This window comes from Homo sapiens, chromosome 1 (assembly GCF_000001405.40).
Source record: "Homo sapiens chromosome 1, GRCh38.p14 Primary Assembly".
In the NCBI taxonomy this organism is placed as follows: domain Eukaryota; kingdom Metazoa; phylum Chordata; class Mammalia; order Primates; family Hominidae; genus Homo; species Homo sapiens.
The window spans coordinates 34561135-34585471 of NC_000001.11; the positions used below are offsets into that span (position 1 = coordinate 34561135).

General features: G+C 44.6%; 1 long non-coding RNA gene across 3 annotated transcripts in view, besides 1 other annotated feature; it reads right to left on the reverse strand.

Moving 5' to 3' along the window:
- LOC105378641 (uncharacterized) overlaps positions 1 to 24337 on the reverse strand; it is a 227461-nt gene that overhangs the window by 103276 nt on the left and 99848 nt on the right. The gene's annotated exons all lie outside the window — the stretch shown is intronic.
- Positions 10688 to 11337: an enhancer, noted in NCBI's record as "OCT4-NANOG-H3K27ac-H3K4me1 hESC enhancer chr1:35037423-35038072 (GRCh37/hg19 assembly coordinates)". NCBI's record gives its function as "activates a minimal SCP1, AML or CMV promoter by ChIP-STARR-seq in primed H9 embryonic stem cells {active_cell/tissue: H9 hESC(primed)}" and the evidence as "EXISTENCE:reporter gene assay evidence [ECO:0000049][PMID:30033119]".

Here is a 24337-nt window from a genome sequence, read left to right on the forward strand (position 1 = left end):
CCAGGGAATTGTCTCCCATTGCAGAACTGTTCAGGTCTTCTCAGCTCCTTCCCGCATCTCTTGCCCTTGTCACAATCAGCACCACCCAGTATCCCATGGCTCCACTCTGCCATTGCTGCCTCTATTGTGATCCTCCATGGTTCCTCCTGAATGCACCCAGTTCTGATGGCTGGGCCCTGACAAATTGAGGGTGAAGATTTTTCCCCAGAAGAAAAAAAAAAGGACAAAGGTAAGACCCTCCCCACCCCTTCTGGCCTCAGCCAGGGAATCCTCCCTTGTAGAATGTAACAAATATCGAAATCTTTCCAGGTACTTTATCTTGGCCCCTGGCCCCCTATTTTAAGTGGGATAATTTATACAATGTCTAGCCACATAGTAGGCATTCAACAAATTTCAGCATAGTAGGTGTTCACCATATTTGTTGAACAAATAAACATCTTGACATAAATATTCTTTCTCTTGCAAATATGATTCTGAAAGATCTGACCCATTCCTAATGATGCTTTTATTATTCTTAAGAATATTCTCCTTTCTTCCCATCCAAGAAACACATCTTCAATTCTGCAACAAAAGTCTCTGGGTAAAGTCGACTTGATTCAGTGACCTTGATTTATTGAAATTGCTTGTGCCATAAACAGAAGCACATGCAGTAAGCCAGTAGCTGAGAGGAGTTCAGCCTCAACTTGACCCATGCTGGCACCCCCATTCTCATGGCTGGCACCCCAGCCTACACAGCTAGAACCCAGTTTACATCTCTGGCTGGTATCCAGTCCACACAGCTGGCACCCAGTCCCGACACCTGGCTGGCACCCCAGTGCACACAGCTGGCACTGCAGCCCACAGATGGTGGCCCAGTCCACACAGCTGGTTGGAATCCAGGTCCTCACAGCCGGCACCCACTCCACACAGCTGGCACCCCAGAATGGTTGCTGTACCAGCTGGAAGCTACTCACTGCTCTCTGCTGTGTCTACAGCAGTCTGCACTGGCCTCTGAACGCAACCCAAGTCACTCTTCTGTTCTCACCACACAAAAAAAGCCTAAGTTACACTGGGAGGGAACAAGGCAAGATGCCTAGGACAACTGCCTAGCCACAAGAGGTTCAGATACTCCCACAATAAACCTCTTCCTTTAAGAGTCTCAGAAAAGAAAGTACTAACAGGTTTCTCAGATGGTGTGAGTGCAGTTCTACTCCGAGACTTTTTGGAGCAACTTTGACCTTCAAGGTGCCAGTGCTGACCCAGGCACAGCAAAGTCAAAAGCATGCCTAGGCCGACCTCAAGAGCAAGGGCCCTGTGAAGGTCAGGCTGTGACCCTCGTGAAAGTGTAGTGACAGTGGTGAGGAGACTCCTCATTCCCAAAGCCCCTCCAGACAAACCCAGGCAAATATGAACACTGGAGTCAGAGCAGGTGGAGAGAAGCGTCACAGGAGTTAAGGATGCTGGACCAGACAGTCCACAGTGGATCCAGCAAAATGTCAGGAACAGTGTCCTGCTGAGATGGAACAGACTTTGAGGGACACACATGCATTCATACCTAAGTCTTTATGATCTTTAAACACCTCTGGTGATTTTTAAAGAGACACCTGAATGTAGCACTTGTTGAAACACCTGGGAGAGATGCAGCAGGTGCACCCCTAAGCCCAGGCCAGGAATATTCCTGAGAGAGCAATCGAAGGAGGACAGCTAACTTGAGCCCATGGCTCTTGGTCATTTAAGGCTCAGTGGCAGCTGGGCTCAGTAACTCATGCCTGTAATTCCAGCACTTTGGGAGGTGGGGGTGGGAGGATTGCTTGAGCCTGGGAGTTCAAGTCCAGCCTCGGCAGCATAGACCCCATCTCTACAGGAAAAAAAAAAAAAAAAAAATCTCAGAGGCATTGCCATTTGTTCTCTGTGTTACCTTGGGCATGCCTGCTTTACTCTCTCAGCCTCCATTTGCTCATCCTAAAAATGAGGATAGTGCTTAGCTTCCTTCTGCTGCTGCCTCAGTCTGAGCTGATCCAGTTAGATTCTCTCTCTCTAGGGCATTCGAAAGTATAATGGGCCAGGTACAATGGCTCATGCCTGTAATCCCAGCACTTTGAGAGGTCGAGGTGGGTGGATTACTTGAGTCCAGGAGTTCGAGACCAGCCTGGGCAACATGGTAAAACCTCATCTCAACAAAAAATACAAAAATTAGCCAGGCTTGGTGATGGGCATCTATAGTCCCAGCTACTAGGGAGGCTGAGATGGGAGGATCACTTGAGCCCTAGAGCTTGAGGCTACACGGAGCCAAGATTGCACCACTGCACTCCAGCCTGAGTGACAAAGCAAGATCTTGTCTAAAAAAGAAGTAGGATGGAGAGATCACATAAGGGAGCCATGGATATTGTCCATTTGCACCTCCACTTCCACCCACCATCCTTCGCTGCCCTGCTCTGTGCTCTGGGAGGCTGAACTCTATCTGTGGTTTCATCATTTGGCCTTCCTGACCTCCTGGATTCAAGTCAGATTTGGCCAACACAAGACACCAGCAGGACATGGATGAGTGGAAGGAGAGACAAGAAGAGGAATTTATTTCTACTGCTCCCTCCCTTCCAGGCCATGGTGTGACAGTGGCTGAGTTCCTCTACCTGAAGCCATGACTTCTCCATCCATACAGCCATTGCTAGGTTCAATAATGCCACTCCCTCCCCTCACTCTTCCAGGTCTCCAGAAGGAGATGGATTTTCCACGTTGCCAGCCCCAGGAAGCTATAGCATCTCTTGTAGATTTCCCTGAACCTTGCAGTGGTTAAATCATCCCTTCTCTAAGCTCTCTTTGACCACACTTTTGAGCAGGCCATTTGTGTCCTGCTGGACCCCTAACAATACAGGGAGCCAAGCTGGAAAGGCTCATAGATTTCACAGCTTGAGGTCACAATTTGGGGGCAGTTATGATGGCCCTTGTAGAAGAAGGACCATGTGACCCCAGAAAGAGTCATAGAGGGAGAATAGCTGCTTGAAGACTTTCTATGATGACAAGGCCTGGCCATGTAACCTACACTTAGAGTCTATGAGTTCCCTTACAACAACCCCCTGTGGCTGAGCTGACTTGAGTGGCTTCTGATTATTTCATTAATGGCCCACTGATTGAAACATAGGCCTGTCTTCATCCCCTTCTAGGAAGGCAGCTGACTGCCATTTCCTGCAAGAACTGGAATTTCTACTGGTGAAAATGTCCATACCCCCTTAGAAAGCAAGCACCAAGTGGACAGGTTCTGTATCTGGTCTTGTGTGCATGGTGTTCTCAGTACTCAGCCTAGCACCTAGCAGAGTAGTCACTCAATACATGGTACTGAACGAATTTTTAAAATACTTTCCAAGCAAATGCATTTGTTGGTTTCACAGGCACAAGATCATTACAGAGAAGATGCTCAGTTCAGAAAGACATTGGGCATTTGCTCTTTAGCTGAATACACACCAGAGTCCAATTTTCTCTCCCACCCAAACTGCCTTTGATTTATCAATGTTCTAAGAAGCCGGTTGCTCATGGCTGACCAGGAATTCCTTCCCGGGCTTGAAAGGGCACTAGAGGAGAAGGAACTTGCCTCTAAATACATAAGACTTGAGCACTTGCTTTCCAATTTTCAAATGTGAAGACAGGAGAGCAACAAAAAAAAGGTTGGAAAAAGAAACTTTGGCTGGATATAGACGATAAATATTCTTAGAACTATAGGTTCTCAGAATTGGAAGGAATGTTCCAAGTTGGCAAATGCAGTTTCCTAGAAATGGCAAAATAGCCCTCTATGAAGGCTGAAGACTCCTCTTGACCAGCTCAGAGTGGCTCAGTACCTCCACAGAGTCCTCTGTCTCTCAGCAAAGGCCTACCACCCCAAAGAAGGCAGGCAGGTGGGTGTGCAAGGCTCACCTGTAGATGTAGAAAATGGGGTGATGTTGTGCTCATGGCAGGTTTGACAGGACATGTGGCAACACAGGCATCCAATGGAAGTGGCAGAGACAGAGTCAGGAGTGGGAAGTCATAGGTACCCACATCACCCATGGCAGGGTGCTCCTCACGTAGCCCAGTGCTTCTTAAACACTGCCACATCTCTGTTTCAAGGCCTGCCATTGGCAAGTACAGCCCAGGAACCTGGGCTGGAGATGCTGCTGCTACCAAGAATGTACCACCTCCACCAGCTTGGCCCACAGGGTTGAGCCTACAGTGCTAGGTCCATCTCACAAAAGGCTACTAATGATCAGAACGGCTCTATCAGAAGCATGTTATATTATATTATATTATATTATATTATATTATATTATATTATATTAGACTCATTTTATGCATGAAGAAACTGAGGCCTGGAGGAGTTAAGCCACTTGTCAGTGGCCAAGAAGAGGTGAAGCAAGGACATGAATCACAGTTGGGATCAGAAGCTCATGATCATTCAAGAGAGGCAGGTGTCTGGTGGAGTGTGAAGGGGGAGAAGGTGGAGGGTGGAGGGAAAGATCAAAAGAGTAAGGAGAGGCTTTGAGGAAGGCACGGGCAGAGCCTTCAAGGTTAGGCAGGGATTCTCCTGGTCACCAGAGAAAGGGCATTCCAGCCAGGGGCACAAGAAAGCACCAGCTCAGAGATGCCAGGCATCCTGCTGAGTCAGGAACACTGCCATCTCTCTATAAATGCTGGTATATTAAATAGTAGGATTCGACTCTAAACTCATTCAACAAATGCCTCCGAGGTGCCAGACTCTGTTCTAGAAGCTGGGAATACAGCCTTCAACGAGATAGACAGAATTCCCTTCCTGAGAGAGCTTACATGCTAGTGAGAAAGACAGACAATAAAAAAATAGATAACTAACTCTACAGTGTGTTAGGTGATAAATGCTGTGCAGACAAATAAAGCAGAAAAGGGAATTAAGCAGAGAGTTCTGGAAGAAAAAGAAGGTCAGGGAAGATATATTTGAGTCTTTTTTTTTTTTTTTTTAATTTTTTTTTTTATTATACTCTAAGTTTTAGGGTACATGTGCACATTGTGCAGGTTAGTTACATATGTATACATGTGCCATGCTGGTGCGCTGCACCCACTAACGTGTCATCTAGCATTAGGTATATCTCCCAATGCTATCCCTCCCCCCTCCCCCGACCCCACCACAGTCCCCAGAGTGTGATATTCCACTTCCTGTGTCCATGTGATCTCATTGTTCAATTCCCACCTATGAGTGAGAATATGCGGTGTTTGGTTTTTTGTTCTTGCGATAGTTTACTGAGAATGATGGTTTCCAATTTCATCCATGTCCCTACAAAGGACATGAACTCATCATTTTTTATGGCTGCATAGTATTCCATGGTGTATATGTGCCACATTTTCTTAATCCAGTCTATCATTGTTGGACATTTGGGTTGGTTCCAAGTCTTTGCTATTGTGAATAGTGCCGCAATAAACATACGTGTGCATGTGTCTTTATAGCAGCATGATTTATAGTCCTTTGGGTATATACCCAGTAATGGGATGGCTGGGTCAAATGGTATTTCTAGTTCTAGATCCCTGAGGAATCGCCACACTGACTTCCACAATGGTTGAACTAGTTTACAGTCCCACCAACAGTGTAAAAGTGTTCCTATTTCTCCACATCCTCTCCAGCACCTGTTGTTTCCTGACTTTTTAATGATTGCCATTCTAACTGGTGTGAGATGATATCTCATAGTGGTTTTGATTTGCATTTCTCTGATGGCCAGTGATGATGAGCATTTCTTCATGTGTTTTTTGGCTGCATAAATGTCTTCTTTTGAGAAGTGTCTGTTCATGTCCTTCGCCCACTTTTTGATGGGGTTGTTTGTTTTTTTCTTGTAAATTTGTTTGAGTTCATTGTAGATTCTGGATATTAGCCCTTTGTCAGATGAGTAGGTTGCGAAAATTTTCTCCCATGTTGTAGGTTGCCTGTTCACTCTGATGGTAGTTTCTTTTGCTGTGCAGAAGCTCTTTAGTTTAATTAGATCCCATTTGTCAATTTTGGCTTTTGTTGCCATTGCTTTTGGTGTTTTGGACATGAAGTCCTTGCCCACGCCTATGTCCTGAATGGTAATGCCTAGGTTTTCTTCTAGGGTTTTTATGGTTTTAGGTCTAACGTTTAAATCTTTAATCCATCTTGAATTGATTTTTGTATAAGGTGTAAGGAAGGGATCCACTTTCAGCTTTCTACATATGGCTAGCCAGTTTTCCCACCACCATTTATTAAATAGGGAATCCTTTCCCCATTGCTTGTTTTTCTCAGGTTTGTCAAAGATCAGATGGTTGTAGATATGCGGCATTATTTCTGAGGGCTCTGTTCTGTTCCATTGATCTATATCTCTGTTTTGGTACCAGTACCATGCTGTTTTGGTTACTGTAGCCTTGTAGTATAGTTTGAAGTCAGGTAGTGTGATGCCTCCAGCTTTGTTCTTTTGGCTTAGGATTGACTTGGCGATGCGGGCTCTTTTTTGGTTCCATATGAACTTTAAAGTAGTTTTTTCCAATTCTGTGAAGAAAGTCATTGGTAGCTTGATGGGGATGGCATTGAATCTGTAAATTACCTTGGGCAGTATGGCCATTTTCACGATATTGATTCTTCCTACCCATGAGCATGGAATGTTCTTCCATTTGTTTGTGTCCTCTTTTATTTCCTTGAGCAGTGGTTTGTAGTTCTCCTTGAAGAGGTCCTTCACATCCCTTGTAAGTTGGATTCCTAGGTATTTTATTCTCTTTGAAGCAATTGTGAATGGGAGTTCACTCATGATTTGGCTCTCTGTTTGTCTGTTGTTGGTGTATAAGAATGCTTGTGATTTTTGCACATTGATTTTGTATCCTGAGACTTTGCTGAAGTTGCTTATCAGCTTAAGGAGATTTTGGGCTGAGACGATGGGGTTTTCTAGATAAACAGTCATGTCGTCTGCAAACAGGGACAATTTGACTTCCTGTTTTCCTAATTGAATACCCTTTATTTCCTTCTCCTGCCTGATTGCCCTGGCCAGAACTTCCAACACTATGTTGAATAGGAGCAGTGAGAGAGGGCATCCCTGTCTTGTGCCAGTTTTCAAAGGGAATGCTTCCAGTTTTTGCCCATTCAGTATGATATTGGCTGTGGGTTTGTCATAGATAGCTCTTATTATTTTGAAATACGTCCCATCAATACCTAATTTATTGAGAGTTTTTAGCATGAAGGGTTGTTGAATTTTGTCAAAGGTTTTTTCTGCACCTATTGAGATAATCATGTGGTTTTTGTCTTTGGCTCTGTTTATATGCTGGATTACATTTATTGATTTGCGTATATTGAACCAGACTTGCATCCCAGGGATGAAGCCCACTTGATCATGGTGGATAAGCTTTTTGATGTGCTGCTGGATTTGGTTTGCCAGTATTTTATTGAGGATTTTTGCATCAATGTTCATCAAGGATATTGGTCTAAAATTCTCTTTTTTGGTTGTGTCTCTGCCCGGCTTTGGTATCAGAATGATGCTGGCCTCATAAAATGAGTTAGGGAGGATTCCCTCTTTTTCTATTGATTGGAATAGTTTCAGAAGGAATGGTACCAGTTCCTCCTTGTACCTCTGGTAGAATTCGGCTGTGAATCCATCTGGTCCTGGACTCTTTTTGGTTGGTAAACTATTGATTATTGCCACAATTTCAGAGCCTGTTATTGGTCTATTCAGAGATTCAACTTCTTCCTGGTTTAGTCTTGGGAGAGTGTATGTGTCGAGGAATGTATCCATTTCTTCTAGATTTTCTAGTTTATTTGCGTAGAGGTGTTTGTAGTATTCTCTGATGGTAGTTTGTATTTCTGTGGGATCGGTGGTGATATCCCCTTTATCATTTTTTATTGTGTCTATTTGATTCTTCTCTCTTTTTTTTCTTTATTAGTCTTGCTAGCAGTCTATCTATTTTGTTGATCCTTTCAAAAAACCAGCTCCTGGATTCATTGATTTTTTGAAGGGTTTTTTGTGTCTCTATTTCCTTCAGTTCTGCTCTGATTTTAGTTATTTCTTGCCTTCTGCTAGCTTTTGAATGTGTTTGCTCTTGCTTTTCTAGTTCTTTTAATTGTGATGTTAGGGTGTCAATTTTGGATCTTTCCTGCTTTCTCTTGTAGGCATTTAGTGCTATAAATTTCCCTCTACACACTGCTTTGAATGCGTCCCAGAGATTCTGGTATGTGGTGTCTTTGTTCTCGTTGGTTTCAAAGAACATCTTTATTTCTGCCTTCATTTTGTTATGTACCCAGTAGTCATTCAGGAGCAGGTTGTTCAGTTTCCATGTAGTTGAGTGGCTTTGAGTGAGATTCTTAATCCTGAGTTCTAGTTTGATTGCACTGTGGTCTGAGAGATAGTTTGTTATAATTTCTGTTCTTTTACATTTGCTGAGGAGAGCTTTACTTCCAACTATGTGGTCAATTTTGGAATAGGTGTGGTGTGGTGCTGAAAAAAATGTATATTCTGTTGATTTGCGGTGGAGAGTTCTGTAGATGTCTATTAGGTCTGCTTGGTGCAGAGCTGAGTTCAATTCCTGGGTATCCTTGTTGACTTTCTGTCTCGTTGATCTGTCTAATGTTGACAGTGGGGTGTTAAAGTCTCCCATTATTAATGTGTGGGAGTCTAAGTCTCTTTGTAGGTCACTCAGGACTTGCTTTATGAATCTGGGTGCTCCTGTATTGGGTGCATAAATATTTAGGATAGTTAGCTCCTCTTGTTGAATTGATCCCTTTACCATTATGTAATGGCCTTCTTTGTCTCTTTTGATCTTTGTTGGTTTAAAGTCTGTTTTATCGGAGACTAGGATTGCAACCCCTGCCTTTTTTTGTTTTCCATTGGCTTGGTAGATCTTCCTCCATGCTTTTATTTTGAGCCTATGTGTGTCTCTGCACGTGAGATGGGTTTCCTGAATACAGCACACTGATGGGTCTTGACTCTTTATCCAACTTGCCAGTCTGTGTCTTTTAATTGCAGAATTTAGTCCATTTATATTTAAAGTTAATATTGTTATGTGTGAATTTGATCCTGTCATTATGATGTTAGCTGGTGATTTTGCTCATTAGTTGATGCAGTTTCTTCCTAGTCTCGATGGTCTTTACATTTTGGCATGATTTTGCAGCGGCTGGTACCGGTTGTTCCTTTCCATGTTTAGCGCTTCCTTCAGGAGCTCTTTTAGGGCAGGCCTGGTGGTGACAAAATCTCTCAGCATTTGCTTGTCTATAAAGTATTTTATTTCTCCTTCACTTATGAAGCTTAGTTTGGCTGGATATGAAATTCTGGGTTGAAAATTCTTTTCTTTAAGAATGTTGAATATTGGCCCCCACTCTCTTCTGGCTTGTAGGGTTTCTGCCGAGAGATCCGCTGTTAGTCTCATGGGCTTTCCTTTGAGGGTAACCCGACCTTTCTCTCTGGCTGCCCTTAACATTTTTTCCTTCATTTCAACTTTGGTGAATCTGACAATTATGTGTCTTGGAGTTGCTCTTCTCGAGGAGTATCTTTGTGGCGTTCTCTGTATTTCCTGAATCTGAACGTTGGCCTGCCTTGCTAGATTGGGGAAGTTCTCCTGGATAATATCCTGCAGAGTGTTTTCCAACTTGGTTCCATTCTCCACATCACTTTCAGGTACACCAATCAGACGTAGATTTGGTCTTTTCACATAGTCCCATATTTCTTGGAGGCTTTGCTCATTTCTTTTTATTCTTTTTTCTCTAAACTTCCCTTCTCGCTTCATTTCATTCATTTCATCTTCCATTGCTGATACCCTTTCTTCCAGTTGATCGCATCGGCTCCTGAGGCTTCTGCATTCTTCACGTAGTTCTCGAGCCTTGGTTTTCAGCTCCATCAGCTCCTTTAAGCACTTCTCTGTATTGGTTATTCTAGTTATACATTCTTCTAAATTTTTTTCAAAGTTTTCAACTTCTTTGCCTTTGGTTTGAATGTCCTCCCATAGCTCAGAGTAATTTGATCGTCTGAAGCCTTCTTCTCTCAGCTCGTCAAAATCATTCTCCATCCAGCTTTGTTCTGTTGCTGGTGAGGAACTGCGTTCCTTTGGAGGAGGAGAGGCGCTCTGCATTTTAGAGTTTCCAGTTTTTCTGTTCTGTTTTTTCCCCATCTTTGTGGTTTCATCTACTTTTGGTCTTTGATGATGGTGATGTACAGATGGGTTTTCGGTGTAGATGTCCTTTCTGGTTGTTAGTTTTCCTTCTAACAGACAGGACCCTCAGCTGCAGGTCTGTTGGAATACCCTGCCGTGTGAGGTGTCAGTGTGCCCCTGCTGGGGGGTGCCTCCCAGTTAGGCTGCTCGGGGGTCAGGGGTCAGGGACCCACTTGAGGAGGCAGTCTGCCCGTTCTCAGATCTCCAGTTGCGTGCTGGGAGAACCACTGCTCTCTTCAAAGCTGTCAGACAGGGACACTTAAGTCTGCAGAGGTTACTGCTGTCTTTTTGTTTGTCTGTGCCCTGCCCCCAGAGGTGGAGCCTACAGAGGCAGGCAGGCCTCCTTGAGCTGTGGTGGGCTCCACCCAGTTCGAGCTTCCCAGCTGCTTTGTTTACCTAAGCAAGCCTGGGCAATGGCGGGCGCCCCTCCCCCAGCCTCGTTGCCGCCTTGCAGTTTGATCTCAGACTGCTGTGCTAGCAATCAGCGAGATTCCGTGGGCGTAGGACCCTCTGAGCCAGGTGTGGGATATAGTCTCGTGGTGCGCCGTTTCTTAAGCCGGTCTGAAAAGCGCAATATTCGGGTGGGAGTGACCCGATTTTCCAGGTGCGTCCGTCACCCCTTTCTTTGACTCGGAAAGGGAACTCCCTGACCCCTTGCGCTTCCCAGGTGAGGCAATGCCTCGCCCTGCTTCGGCTTGCGCACGGTGCGTGCACACACTGGCCTGCGCCCACTGTCTGGCACTCCCTAGTGAGATGAACCCGGTACCTCAGATGGAAATGCAGAAATCACCCGTCTTCTGCGTCGCTCACGCTGGGAGCTGTAGACCGGAGCTGTTCCTATTCGGCCATCTTGGCTCCTCCCCCTGAGTCTTTACTCAACTATATTGAAGGATACTTGAGCAAAGACTTGAAAGGGTGAGAGAGCAAGAGATTCAGATATTTAGGCAACAGCACATGCAAAGGCCCTGAGGCAGAGGCATTCTGGGTGTTTGAGGAACATTGAGGATCCAGTGGAGGAAGTGAGAAAGAGGCAACTGGACTGACTGGGGCATCTTCCTACACCTCAGCCTCCTCACCTATATAAAGGGTGCAACTTTCCCAGGTGCCTGGGGACCAGGATACCTCATGAATACTTTCCACTGCCCTCTCCCCTGGGGTCTGAGTATTGCTCTGTCTGAGTAAAACAGATCTCACATAAAAGCCAAGGGGCGGCTTACTAGGAAGCCAAGGCAGGGCCTCGCGGGATAGAGGACAGAGCAGGCAGGGGAGTGAGAGGGTAGGGTGCGGTCTGGGGAAAGAGAAGCAAGGGACCATTCTTATATTCTCTGGACACGACTTGTGGGCCAGGAGGAAGAAGGGAAGGAGAGGATAAGCAGGAGGCCAAGTCAGCTTCCTCATTCCCCAGGGCTCCCATATTGGTTAGGGAAGGAAGAGACTGGATGAGGAAATCAGTGAGCAGAAGGAGTCTAACCCCTGAAAAGTGGGCACTTGTCCCTCCTCACCCCAACAGAAGAGGGGAGCCTGGATCCCTCAAAGACATGGCTGCTAATGGTGTCTCTCAAACTCCAACTAAGCCCCCAACTCTGAAATTGCACTATGGCTTTCTTCTGCCCGTGTCCACCCAGATGCCTCCACTGCCTGCCCACCAGTGGCCGAGGCATCTGCAAACTTCCAACCCAACCCCCACTCCCAAAGTGGGACCTGGTCAGCTGGGCCGGGGCACAGCCAGCTCTGGGCTGGAGAAACAGCTGTCATTTCCTGGGGCTTGACCCTCAGGGTGCAGCAAACCTCTGGCTTTTAGAGACACCCCAAGGGAGGGACTAAGAAGAGAATGGTGTCCCAACAGAAGGTGGGCAAGCACTGAGAATCATCTTAGCTCTGTTCCCCTCACTCTTCATAGTTCTCCAATAGAGAAACTAAGAGACTGGATTGTGTACAGAGGGGCAAGACATAGAAAGAGACAGGAGCAATGGACAAGTGACATGAGAATCAGAGGGAGAGAGAGGAGAGACAGCAAGGTGGGGACAGAAACAGAGCTGGAATAGGAAGAGAGCCCAAGACAGAGAGAGAGAGAGAGGCAGAAAAATAGACAGATACAGAGGCAGGGGGTGATACGAAGAGACAGAGAGGGAGTGACAGGCAGAGAGAGGAAGAGAGAAGGACAGGAAAAAGTGTTGAGCGAAGTAATGAGAAGGAGGCAGAGAACAGAGAGACACAGACAGGAATTCTGGGCCCAAAAAGGGCTGTCGGCCAGGCATGGTGGCTCACATCTGGAATCCCAGCACTTTGGGAGGCTGATGTGGGCAGATTGCTTGAGCCCAGGAGTTCAAGACCAGCTTAGGCAACATGTCAAAACCCCATCTCTACAAAAAAAAAAAAAAGAAAAAGAAAAAAATAGCCATGAACAGTGCTGCGCCCCTGTAGTCCCAGTTACTCAGGAGGCTGAGGTGGGAGGATCAATTGAGCCAAAGAGCTCAAGTATGTAGTGAGCCAAGATCACTCCACTGCACTCCAGCCTGGGCGACAGAGCAAGACCCTGTCTCAAAACAAAAACAGAGTGCTGTGTCTCTCTGCCATTGCACCCTGTCATCTGCTTGCTGAAGCTACAAAAGACATAGGACTGAGGTCCTCCCCCGCCAGTCTCCCAGCAGGGCCTCTTGGAGAAGACCTCCCAACCCAAACATTTGTCATCCCACAGCCCATCTAGGAAGATCCCATCAGCTACCCTCTCCCAAACCTCATCCCCACCATGCCTGCCCTGGACTTGCTCCCCAACCAGTGGGTGCCAGGGGAAGGGGGTGCACCCTGGGAGGCAGGCAATAGGGGATGTATTCTCTGCAGAGAATCTTAACACAGTAATAAAATGGAGTCTCTTGGATTTTTAACTCATAGATAACATTGAATGTTTTTATCATGTACACCATGATGTTTTAAAGAATATATACATCCTCCCGAGTAGCTGGGACTACCGGCGCCCGCCACCACGCCCGGCTAATTTTTTTGTATTTTTAGTAGAGAGGGGTTTCACTGTGTTAGCCAGGATGGTCTCGATCTCCTGACCTCGTGATCCGCCCGCCTCGGCCTCCCAAAGTGCTGGGATTACAGGCGTGAGCCACCACGCCAGGCCTACATTTTTCAAGAATACAACACATCATTATTAACTATAGTCACCCCACTGTACAATAGATGTCTTGAAATTTATTCCTCCTATCTAACCGTAATTATGTATCCTTTTACCGACATTTCCCCATCCTCCCTCCCTCTAACCACTCCAGCTCGGTAACCACCAGGCTCTTTTTATGATCACCAGGTACTGGCAATTCTAAACATTGTCAGTGATTAAAATACTCTTCCCCAAAAATATTCTTTTGTTGGTAAAATGCTTACAAGTGCTGTGATTAGATTACTGTTGAGTTTTAATACATATTTAATATATGTGTATATAATATATTTTTGAATTAGCCCTTTTTGATTCCTTATCCCTTAATGAACATTGAATTCTCCCAGGAGGTTAATACTGAGCCCTTTTGGTTGTACAGTTTGCCCCCACACATGGGGACTCAGCTACGTGTTCATTTCCAGAGTGTTCCAACATTCAGAATCGTTCAAGCTCTCTACAGGAGTGGTTTATGTCTCCAACTCCCGAGACACTACATATTCCTGTGTTTAAAGAGAAGCTTCTAAATAAACAGTGAGAGCACAGTGATGGTAAAGCAAAGAAACAGAACTTGAGTTCCTTCAATTCTGTCACTGTATGGGGCCACATGGAATTTTTACTTGTGTATAAATTTTTAAAACAGTAACGCAGAATGCAAACTGCAAGGTGAACCATCTTTTGTTTGGAAGTGCCAGTTTTAGCTCACACAAGAACTAGTTCACTGGACGTGAATCATATCTTTAACATTAAAATTAATTCTGTTTTTAATTGTTGCTTGTTATAAAATGAAAGAAGGAATCAAGGAAACAGAAATTGTAATGTTATCGTTTGTTATTGTGACAGACAAATAAGTAAGTATATGTTTCTCCCCTTTTCAAAACATACGTTGCTGTAATTACAAACTATTAATCCCTTACTTTCTAAATTTTGTATTATAATATTTTATTTATTTTTATTTATATTACTGGCATGGTTTATGTAGGAAGTTCAATAAAAAAACATTTTACTGAGTTTCTTTTCTGGTCATTATTATTATTGGTTTCATTTCATGATTAGTACTGAAAATAATTGTGTTAAATAGAAGAGGGAGACTGTTTAAAAGTTGATCCACTCCGTGCAAAGACATCAAAACGAGACAATGGACTTTGGGGACTCAGGGGGAATGGGTAGGAAGGGGGTGAGGGATAAAAGACTATAAATTGAGTGCAGTGTATACTGCTCAGGTGATGGGCGCACCAAAATCTCACAGATCACCACTAAAGAACTCACTCATGTAACCAAACACCACCTGTTCCCCGATAACCTATGGAAATTTTAAAAAATTTTAAAAATAAATAAAATAAATAAAAGACCTGGAGATAACTAGCTAGGCCCTTTGGCCCTTCCACTCTTTCGCCACATGAGGACACAGCCTTCCTTCCCTCCAGAGGGTGCAGCAACAAGGCACCAACTCGGAAGCAGATACTGGGCCCTCCAGACACCAAACTGCCAACATCTTGATCTTGGACTTCCAGCCTCCAGAATTGTGAGAAATAAATTCCTGTTCTTTACAAATTACCCATATCAGATATTTTATTATAGCAGCACTAATGGACTAATACAATAATTACCTGCTTTTTACAAATTAAAAAAAAAAGTTGATCCATTGCAGATGTCAAATGTACCATTGTCCCTGCCAACTTTTCCATTGAACCAAATGGACCCCCACCCCACACACCCCATTCCCCTTCCTCAGCAACAGGCTCTGCATCTCTCCCTTTCCTATGTTCTCCCTCCACTTCCGGGGTGGCTGAGACTGGCTCTCCTCCTGGCTTCACTCTCTAAAACCCCATGGATTACCAGGTAGGAGGAATGGGCAGCGCTGGAAGAGTCCTGTGCCCTCCTCAGCTCAGTCACCATCTCACATGGGAAGGCCTTCCTAGGAGTTCAGCCACAAGCTCCCTACCCACTGCTGCCACACCTGACCTCAAAGTCATACCTCTGCCTCCCTGGAGGCTCTGGCCCTGGCTCAGGGTCTTTCGCTCTGCTCTGCTTCAGCCAGCCAACTTAGCCATCCATGTGGGCTCAACAAACCCTATGCCTTTCCAGCACCTTGATATCCTCAGATGCAGTGAGGGTCTGCAGTGCATGCAGGGCATCCAGTGACTGCCACTCCCATTCACCCCTGCACCTCCCCCAGCAGCAAGTCCTGGCAGCACTACCCTCAAAGGCATCCCCAAGCCAGCTGGTCAGCTCCAGCCCACCTGACCCCCGCAACCCGTTCACCATCCCTTCTCCCCCAGATCCCGGTAGGAACATCCTCATTGGTTTGCCTTTCTCCATTCTTGCCTCTTCCAATCCATTCTCCACATGATAGTGAGGGTGACCTTTAAAAACATTTGTCAGACGAAAGCACTCCCCACCTAAAACCCACCGATGCTTTCTCATTGCAATTAGAGTAATTTCTGCGTCCTAAACATGGACAGAAAAGGGCTGACCTGATCTGCCCTGCCCACTTCTTCTTTTTGAAAAATTTATTTATTTATATTTTTAATTGACAAAAATCATACCTATTTACTGTGTACAACAATTACCTTTTGAAATATGTGTGCATTGTGAAATGGCTAAATTGAGCTAATTAACACATGCCTTACCTCACATTTTTATCGTTTTTGTGGTGAGAACACTAAAAATCTACTCTCTTGATGATTTTCAAGCATATATTGTTATTAACTATAGTCACCATGTTGTACAATAGATCCCTTGAATGTCTTTCTCCTAACTGAAATGTTGTATCCTTTGACCAACACCTCCCCAGCCCCACACCCCTCGCCCTCAGCCTTTGGTAACCAGCGTTCTACTTTCCACCTTTTTAGATTCCACATATGAATGAGATCATGTGGTATTTGTCTTTCTGTGACTGGCTTATTTCACTTAATATAATGACCTCCAGGTTCATCCATGTTGTCTCAAATGACAGAATTTCCTTCTTTTTCAAGGCTGAATAGCATCCCATTGTGTATGTATCCCACATTTTCTTTATCCGTGTACCCACTGACGGATGCTTAGGTTGAGTGCTTGTCTTGGCTACTGTGAACAGTGCTGTTAACAAACATGGAAGTGCACATATCTGTTCCACACACTGGTTTCCTTTTCTTTGGCTGTATCTATACCCAGTAATGGGATTGCTGGATCATATGGTAGTTCATTTTGAATATTTTGAGGAACCTCCATACTGTTTTCCATAATGGCTTTTCTAACTTACATTCCCACCAACAATGCTCAAGGGTTCCCTTTTCTCTACATCCTTGCCAACACTCACTATCTTTAATTTTATTGATAATGCTAGGCGCGGTGGCTCACACCTGTAATCCCAGGACTTTGGGAGGCTGAGGCAAGTGGATCACCTGAGCTCAGGAGTTTGAGGCCTGGCCAACATGGTGAAACCCCATCTGTACTAAAAATACAAAATTAGCCGGGCATGGTGGCACATGCCTGTAATCCCAGCTACTTGGGAGGCTGAGGCAGGAGAATCACTTGAACCTGGGAGGCAGAGGTTGTGGCGAGCTGAGATTGTGCCATTGCACTCCAGCCTGGGCGACAAGAGCAAAACTCCATCTCAAAGCAAAAAAAAAAAAAAAAAAAAAAAAAAGATAATAGCCATTCTCTCAGATATGGAGTGATATCTCACTGTGGTCTTAATTTGCATTTCCCTTGTGATTAGTGATGGAGAGCACCTTTTCCTATTCCTGCTCGCTGCCTACTTCTACCCTTTCTTCTGCAAGTGCTCCTGCCACTTCGTTTCTGCTATACCGGCTTTCTTGCTATTCCTTAAGCACATCAAGCTTTTCCCACCTCAGGGCTTTTGCACTCACTGTTTCCTCTACCAGGAATGCTCTTCCCATAGACCTGCCTGCAAATGGCTCCTTCTCATCTCATGAGTCTTCATCTGACTGTTACCTTCAGGAAGGCCTTTCTGACCACCCTGCCTAGATACACTCCACCCCGACTCCACCCTTTGTCCCTTTACTCTGCTTTGTTTTTCTTCATACCATCTGGAATTACAGATTTTTTTAATGTGGACAATAGTTCAATCTGACTCTCCTAGCTGAGGGCAAAGGCTTTGTTTGCCCTCGTAGGCTAGGACCATAGTCCAAATAGTGCCTGAAACATAACAGATGTTCAATAAATATTTTTCCAGTGAATTAATCCACCAAATCCCAAGGTTTTCCCCAGACATGGCTATCCCCTAGACCTGCCCCACCTTCCAAATCTTAAACTCCAGTATCTCAGCGCCTGGTGTAATCTGATTTTTACCAATCTCTCTGACCCTCTCCTTCCCTTACACATACTCCTCCAAAGTTCCATTTGAGCAAACGGACCGCCCTCCATTAGTTCCATAAGTCAGAAACCTAGGACTAATCCTTGACACCTCTTTCTCTATATGTACCTCTGTTACCAGAAAGGGGTCCCGATCCAGACCCTAAGAGAGGGCTCTTGAATCTCCCACAAGAAAGAATTTGAGTCAAGCTCATAAAGTGAGAGCAAGTTTATTAAGAAAGTAAAGGAATAAAGAATGCTACTCCAGAGACAGAGCAGTGGCTTTAGCTGCTCAGCTGCTTGTATTTATTATTACTTCTTGATTATATGCTAAACAAGAGGTGAATTATTCATGAGTTTTTGGGGAAAGAGGTGGGTAATTCCCAGAACTGAGGGTTCCTTCCCATTTTAGACTATATAGGGTAACTTCCTGATGTTGCCATGGCATTTGTAAACTGTCATGGTGTTGGTAGGAGTGTCTTTTAGCATGCTAATGTATTATAATTAGCATATAATGAGCAGTGAGAATGAGCAGAGGTCACTCTCTTCACCATCTTGGTTTTGGGGGGTTTTGGCCAGCTTCTTTACTGTATCCTGTTTAATCAGCAAGGTCTTTAACACCCATACCTCATGCCAACCTCCTATCTCATCCTGTGACTTAGAAAGCCTAATCTCCTGGGAATGCAGCCCAGTAGGTCTCAGTCTTATTTTATCCAGCCCCTATTCAAGATGGAGTCTTTCTGTTTCAAACACCTCTGACTCCTCCAAATCTAACTCCACATCCTACTGATTCTGCCTTATAAACATTATTTGCGTTCACCTTATTCTTCTCACCTCCACCATCATCACCCTAGTCCAAGGCACCATTATCCCCAGGCTGGAAAACTGCAATAGCCTCCTAACTGGTCTCCACCCCTCCACATTTCCCTACCCCTAACGATACAGTCTCTCCACCAAAGCCAAAAAAAGTCTTAAAATAGAAATTTAATTTCAATACTCCCATTTTTAAAACCTTCAGTGGCTTTCCATTGCTCATAGAATGGGCCCTAAACTCTAGAACAAAGTCCACACTATCCTGCAATGAGGACCCCACCTATCTGTCTCGCCTCCTTTCTTACTATCCTCCTTCTTTCTCATTAAAGTCCAGCCACGCTGGCCTTTCTCCCGTTCCTAGAAGTACCTTGTTTTAATCTTTTAATATATGTTTATTGAGGCAGACCATATACTGGACACTGGTATGGATATATAGAAATGAACAAAAGAGACAAAATTGTTGCCCTCATGAAGCCTATCTTGTAGTGAGGGAATACATCATAAACAAAGCACTTTGCAACACAAAATCAGGGGGTGAACAAGTGATGCCAAGAAGCATCAATCAGGGAAAGGGGATACGGAATGTTGAGGGGTGCTGTGCTCGCTAGAGTGCCGGAAAGGGATCTTTGAGCACAGAGTGAGCCATCGAATTATCCAGAGGAAGGGCTTTCTAGGCAAAGAAAACAGTCAATGCAAAGACCTAGGCAGGAAAGTGCTGAAGACGGGTCTGAAGAACAGCAAATAACCTCAGGGCTATTTTGTCCTGCGGTAACACTTTTCCCATCCCCAACTTTTGCCTATTAAACTTCCAAACCACCTTTAAATGTCAGATCAAAGTTCATTTCTTCCAAGCAGCCTTTTCTGAACCACTTCCCACACCCCCAGCCTAGATCAAATCCAAACTCTCATAGGCCCCTGTTCTCTTCCTTCATAGCCCTAAGCACTATTTAGCTTGTGTGTGTGGGTAACTGTTTAATTCACACTCTTTACTAGACTAGCTGGATCAACTGAACACCATGCTACCTTGAGCACTGGCCTCTCTCCCCTGGGCAAGAGCAAGAAGAGACACTGACATTTCTCGCTCTCTGATTGACCACTTGGAACATGGTTCAGTGTCATTGATCAGGCTACAGCTTTATTTAGTGTAATCTCACCTTCCTGAGACTACTGCCTCATTTCCTTAATTGAACTTGGGTGTCTTGTCATCACTCAAGGTGGGTCTCTACCTTCTCAAGATGCTGATTTATTCCATCAAATGTTAATTTTCCATAGTTTCACTCTCAGAGATTGTTATGAATTAGCAGTCTCCTTATATGCCCCACCCATACCCCTTTTTAAAAGAAATTACTTCACTCAGACTCCTGCTGCCCAGCTTCCATATTTTCTTATCTGACCATCCCTTTTATCTACCATATTTCATTGGTTCTGAGGGTGGACACCTGACCAAAACCCAGAACTATAATCTGGTTATGTCCAGAAGCAGCCACTGCTTCCCAGCCTTTTGGAGCTCCGCCCACTCCTTCTCCTGTTCATGGATTGACTTGAGGGTTCTCTTCTCTCTATGGGCATTCTTAAAATCCATGGCCCTAGCCGAAGACGGTGTGGCCTGGCTTTAAAAAGAAAAAAAAAAGGCTAGATCATCTTTTAATCTTTTTTCTTAAGAATATGACCCAAGGAAAAAAGAATTTTCCAGTTAGTAGCTAAGGAAGAATTTAAAAGGGTATCTTAAGTTAGGACAATGGCAAATCAAGGTCAAATGCAATAGAAAATTATAAGGAAAGAGAAGAAATAGATATGGGGTGGGAGTAGCTGATATACCTTAGAAGCAGAGCAGAAGGGGGGTTCTGCTGCTGGAAGAACCCAGAACCACCTTAAATCGAAAGCAGCCACTGCTTCCCATCCTGTGAAGCCCAGCCCAGCTACTCTTCCTGTTCTCAGATTGTCTTGGGAGTTCCCATCTCTCCATGTGCAGTCTTAAAATAACTACCTTTGCTTGAACCAATGTAAAGGAGTCTGTGTTCTTTCATTCAACACTATTTATTGAACACCTACACACAATTGTGTTGTTCTAGGTGCCAGGGATATAGCAATGAACAAATCAGCTGAAATCCCTGCTCTCCTGTGGCTTGCATTTTGGTGGGTAAGACATAAAATAAATAAATAAAGTAATGTGTCAGATTGTGATTAAGTGCTATTTTAAAAATTAAAACTAGATAAGGAACTCAAGATAGTGCAAAGATGCTTTGACTTCTGGAACTATGGCCAAGATATTTTGAGAAGCTCTTCTACTCAGGCAAAACTGTGCACTGTACATAACACAATTTTAACCACATTATTAGGCTCCGGAGAGATGGGGTAAATCTCCAAGGGGCTGGAAGAAAGAGGCCATGAACCATGAGTAATAGTGAGCTGTGAGGCTTCAGGGAGAGATGCAACCTAGAAACAAGCCTTGAGCCAGCACAGCACAGTATGAGACCCAAGCCTGACTCTCACATTTAGCCAGGAATTCTAAAGAGGGCTAAAAAGATTTCCAGTTGACCATGCCCTATGGTGCCTGGCAGAGATAAATATAAATCTTCTCTGGAAGAAAGCATCCTCAATTTATTGACCCAGATTTTCCATACATTAAGATCAACCATATATAAACTCGCATCCAGTGATCACCAAACACACAAGGAAACAAAGCACCATGAATAAGTACAGAATCAACAAACAATAGATTTAATCTGCCCCTCACCCCAAGACTTCAGATACTAGAATTGTGAAACACAGAATAGAAAACAACTTTATATGAAATGCTTAAAGAAGTACAGGACAGAATCACAAAAATGAGCAACAATGAGACTACAAACAACAACCACCACCATCAGGCAGATTTTTAAGAATTGCTAGGGAGGGCAAAGAATCATCTTATAGAGTGGAGATCAAGGGAGCTTCTCTGATAAGTTAGTATTTGAGCAGAGATGGAAGGTGTGAGCAAATGACTGTGCAGACCTCTGGGGGTAGAGCGTTCCAGGCAGAAAGAATGACCAGTGCAAACAGGAGTGTGTTTAATGTGCTCAGTAAACAGAGGAGGGTGCTCTAAGGTCAACTGAGGGAAGGGAGGGATTTAGGCAAAGAGGTGACAGAAATGAAGAGGCCATGCCAGGCTTGTGGATGATGACAAGCGCTTTGTATTTTGTTGCAACTGAGATGAGGAGTCACTGGAGGAATTGAGCAGATGAATGACATGATTCACTCTTTGTTTTTAAAAGATCACACAGTCACCTGAGCTCAGGAGTTCAAGACCAGCCTGGCCAACATGATGAAACCAGATCTCTACTAAAATGCAAAAATTAGCTGGGCATGGTGGTGCGCACCTCTAATCCCAGCTACTTGGGAGGCTGAGACAGAAGAATCACTTGAACCCAGGAGGCAGAGGTGGCAGTGAGCCAAGATCATACCACTGCACTCCAGCCTGGTGACAGAGTGAGATTCCATCTAAAAAAAAAACAAAAAAAAAAAACAAAAAAAAAACTTTTTAAACTGTTGGTTACTAGAGCTTAGTACCTGCATGACGAAATAATCTGTACCACAGATTCCTGCAGCATGAGTTTACCTACATAATAACCCTGCACTTGTACCCCTGAACCTAAAATAAAAGTTTAAAAATTAAGTAAAAACCTAAAGTTTTGTTTATTGAAGAAGCTGGATTTAAAGCTTTGGTTTGAGTCTGAGTTCTACAAATATGTCAGCTCCTAATAAGGGCTTGGAGCTCACCAATAGAAATGGCATCATCCCCATGACAGTGAACTCACGGGCTAGGGATGGTTATGATTCAACCCACCGGGGCAGCAGGATACTAAGGGGTCACAGGGTGCTGTGGTGGGCCTGAGCAGAGCCACTCACCTCAGCAGGCGGGGCTTCTCCCAGGTGGTGATTAGTGAGGTCAAAGCAACATCAAGGCAGGAAGGAAGCATGCAGTGGACTATACTCAACTCACATGAAGCTCCTCCTCTTCCTAGCATGGTATTGCTAACAACAGTGTTCTGGGGCATCTAACACGCTCCTCTCTCAGGGTCTCAGCTTGCCCATATATTAATTGCCAGGGGCGATCATCTGATGTTGAGCTTGCTTTAAAATCCTAATCTTCTTTAAACTATAGTTTCAGATGAGAGAGGTGTTCCATGCAGGTTTCAGCATGATATGAAATGAACGCTGAGGCTGATCTGTAATGATGAGAAAGTGAGGGATCCAGCACGCTGGGAAGTCTGTGAAGGAGGCTTGAGTGTATTTATGTAACCCAGGTAGGGAGTAAGTGTAACAAAGGGAGTTGAAGATAAACAGCATTTCTTAGGGGGACTAGGAATATGCTCTTGGGAGGGTGGTTGATGAAAGTGATGAAGAAATGAATGGAGCTAAGGGTACATGATCAGGCACTAGGAGGGAGCATGAGAGAGCCAAACATTCACTTTCTGTTGAAAAACATGAGCATAAGAGGCATCTAAGAAGGATTTGTAGAAGTCTTCTATGTCATATTCCAGGTAAAAATCTGCAACAAAATCTACATTATTCTTCAAAAAAAAAAAAAAAAGAAAGAAATGAGAAGAGATCTCTGAGGTTGTGAGGATGAGATGAATCCAGAAGAGCCTGAAAAGGGGACACCAATGAAATAGAAAAGCAAGAGGGACTGATGACCCAGAAGCCAAGCCAAGAAAGTGTTTCAAGACAGAGGTGTGCTCAGCAGGAGCAAGTGCTGCTGAGAACCACCAGCCTCTGAGACTGGCCATGGGATGTAACAACACACAGCTCATCGGTGACCTTGACAAACGCTGTTTCAGTGGAGACTCCGGGACTGAAGTGAGCCACGAGAGAAAGAGAGTAGAGGAAGTACAGGTGACTCGTGAGGAGTTTTGCTGTGAAAAGAAGGAGGAAAATGGGATGAAAAATAAAGAAAGATATGAAGGTCAAAGTCTGTTCCTGGCAACCAAAAAGGGACTTGCCTTGAGTAGAAAGTAATTAATCTCCAAACCACGAGGCTCCCTGACTTGATAAGTGTGCACTGAGTGAAGGGCTCTAATTACCTTGTTGCCACCTTTGGGAACAGGGTGGAATGTGGTCACCAAGGCAATGAGAAGCTCCCTAATTCCCACCTCATGATTCCTAGCAGGACTCAAAAGTCCCAAGTTGCTGAAGTGACTTGGAAATCTAACTGGAGTACAGCTCTGCATTGGAATTACAGCAAGAGCAAGCCTCACCCCTCATTACCCTTTGTGATCAGGGCAGGGAAAAAGCTGCTCAAAAGACGTGTGTAATAGATAAAGTGAAGTAATGTGGGGGATTGCCATCTGGGGAGAGGAATAACTTTATTATTTCATAGCTCTCCTGGCAGTCCAGCGTGCAGACAGACAGGAGGTGTGTGGCGGCAAACACAATCCAAGCTACTCCCTCAAGGATTGACAAAGCAAAGGACCAACCTTGAAGATTTCTAGTAAATATTTGCAGCCACTGAAAACATCTGCTGATTTCTCTTCCACAGACCCAGGAAGAGGGAAACCAGGACAGACACGAGGATTGGGCACCCCTTAGGTACTGTGCTGGGGGTCATCACTATGCTGGGTACTCTTAAAACATTTTGCCATTTGGGCTGGGCACAGTGGCTCACACTGGTAATCCCAGCACCTTGGGAGGCCGAGGCAGGTGGATCACCTGAGGTCAGGAGTTCAAGACCAGCCTGGCCAACACGGTGAAACCCCATCTCTATAAAAATACAAAAATTAGCTGGGCATGATGGTGGGTGCCTGTAATCCAAGCTACTTAGGAGGCTGAGGTATGAGAATTGCTTGAACCCGGGAAGTGGAGGTTGCAGTGAGCCGAGATCACACCATTGCACTCCAGCCTGGGCAACAGAGCAAGACTCCATCTCCAAACAAACAAACAAACAAAAAAATTTTGCCATTTAACACATACCACCACCACCCA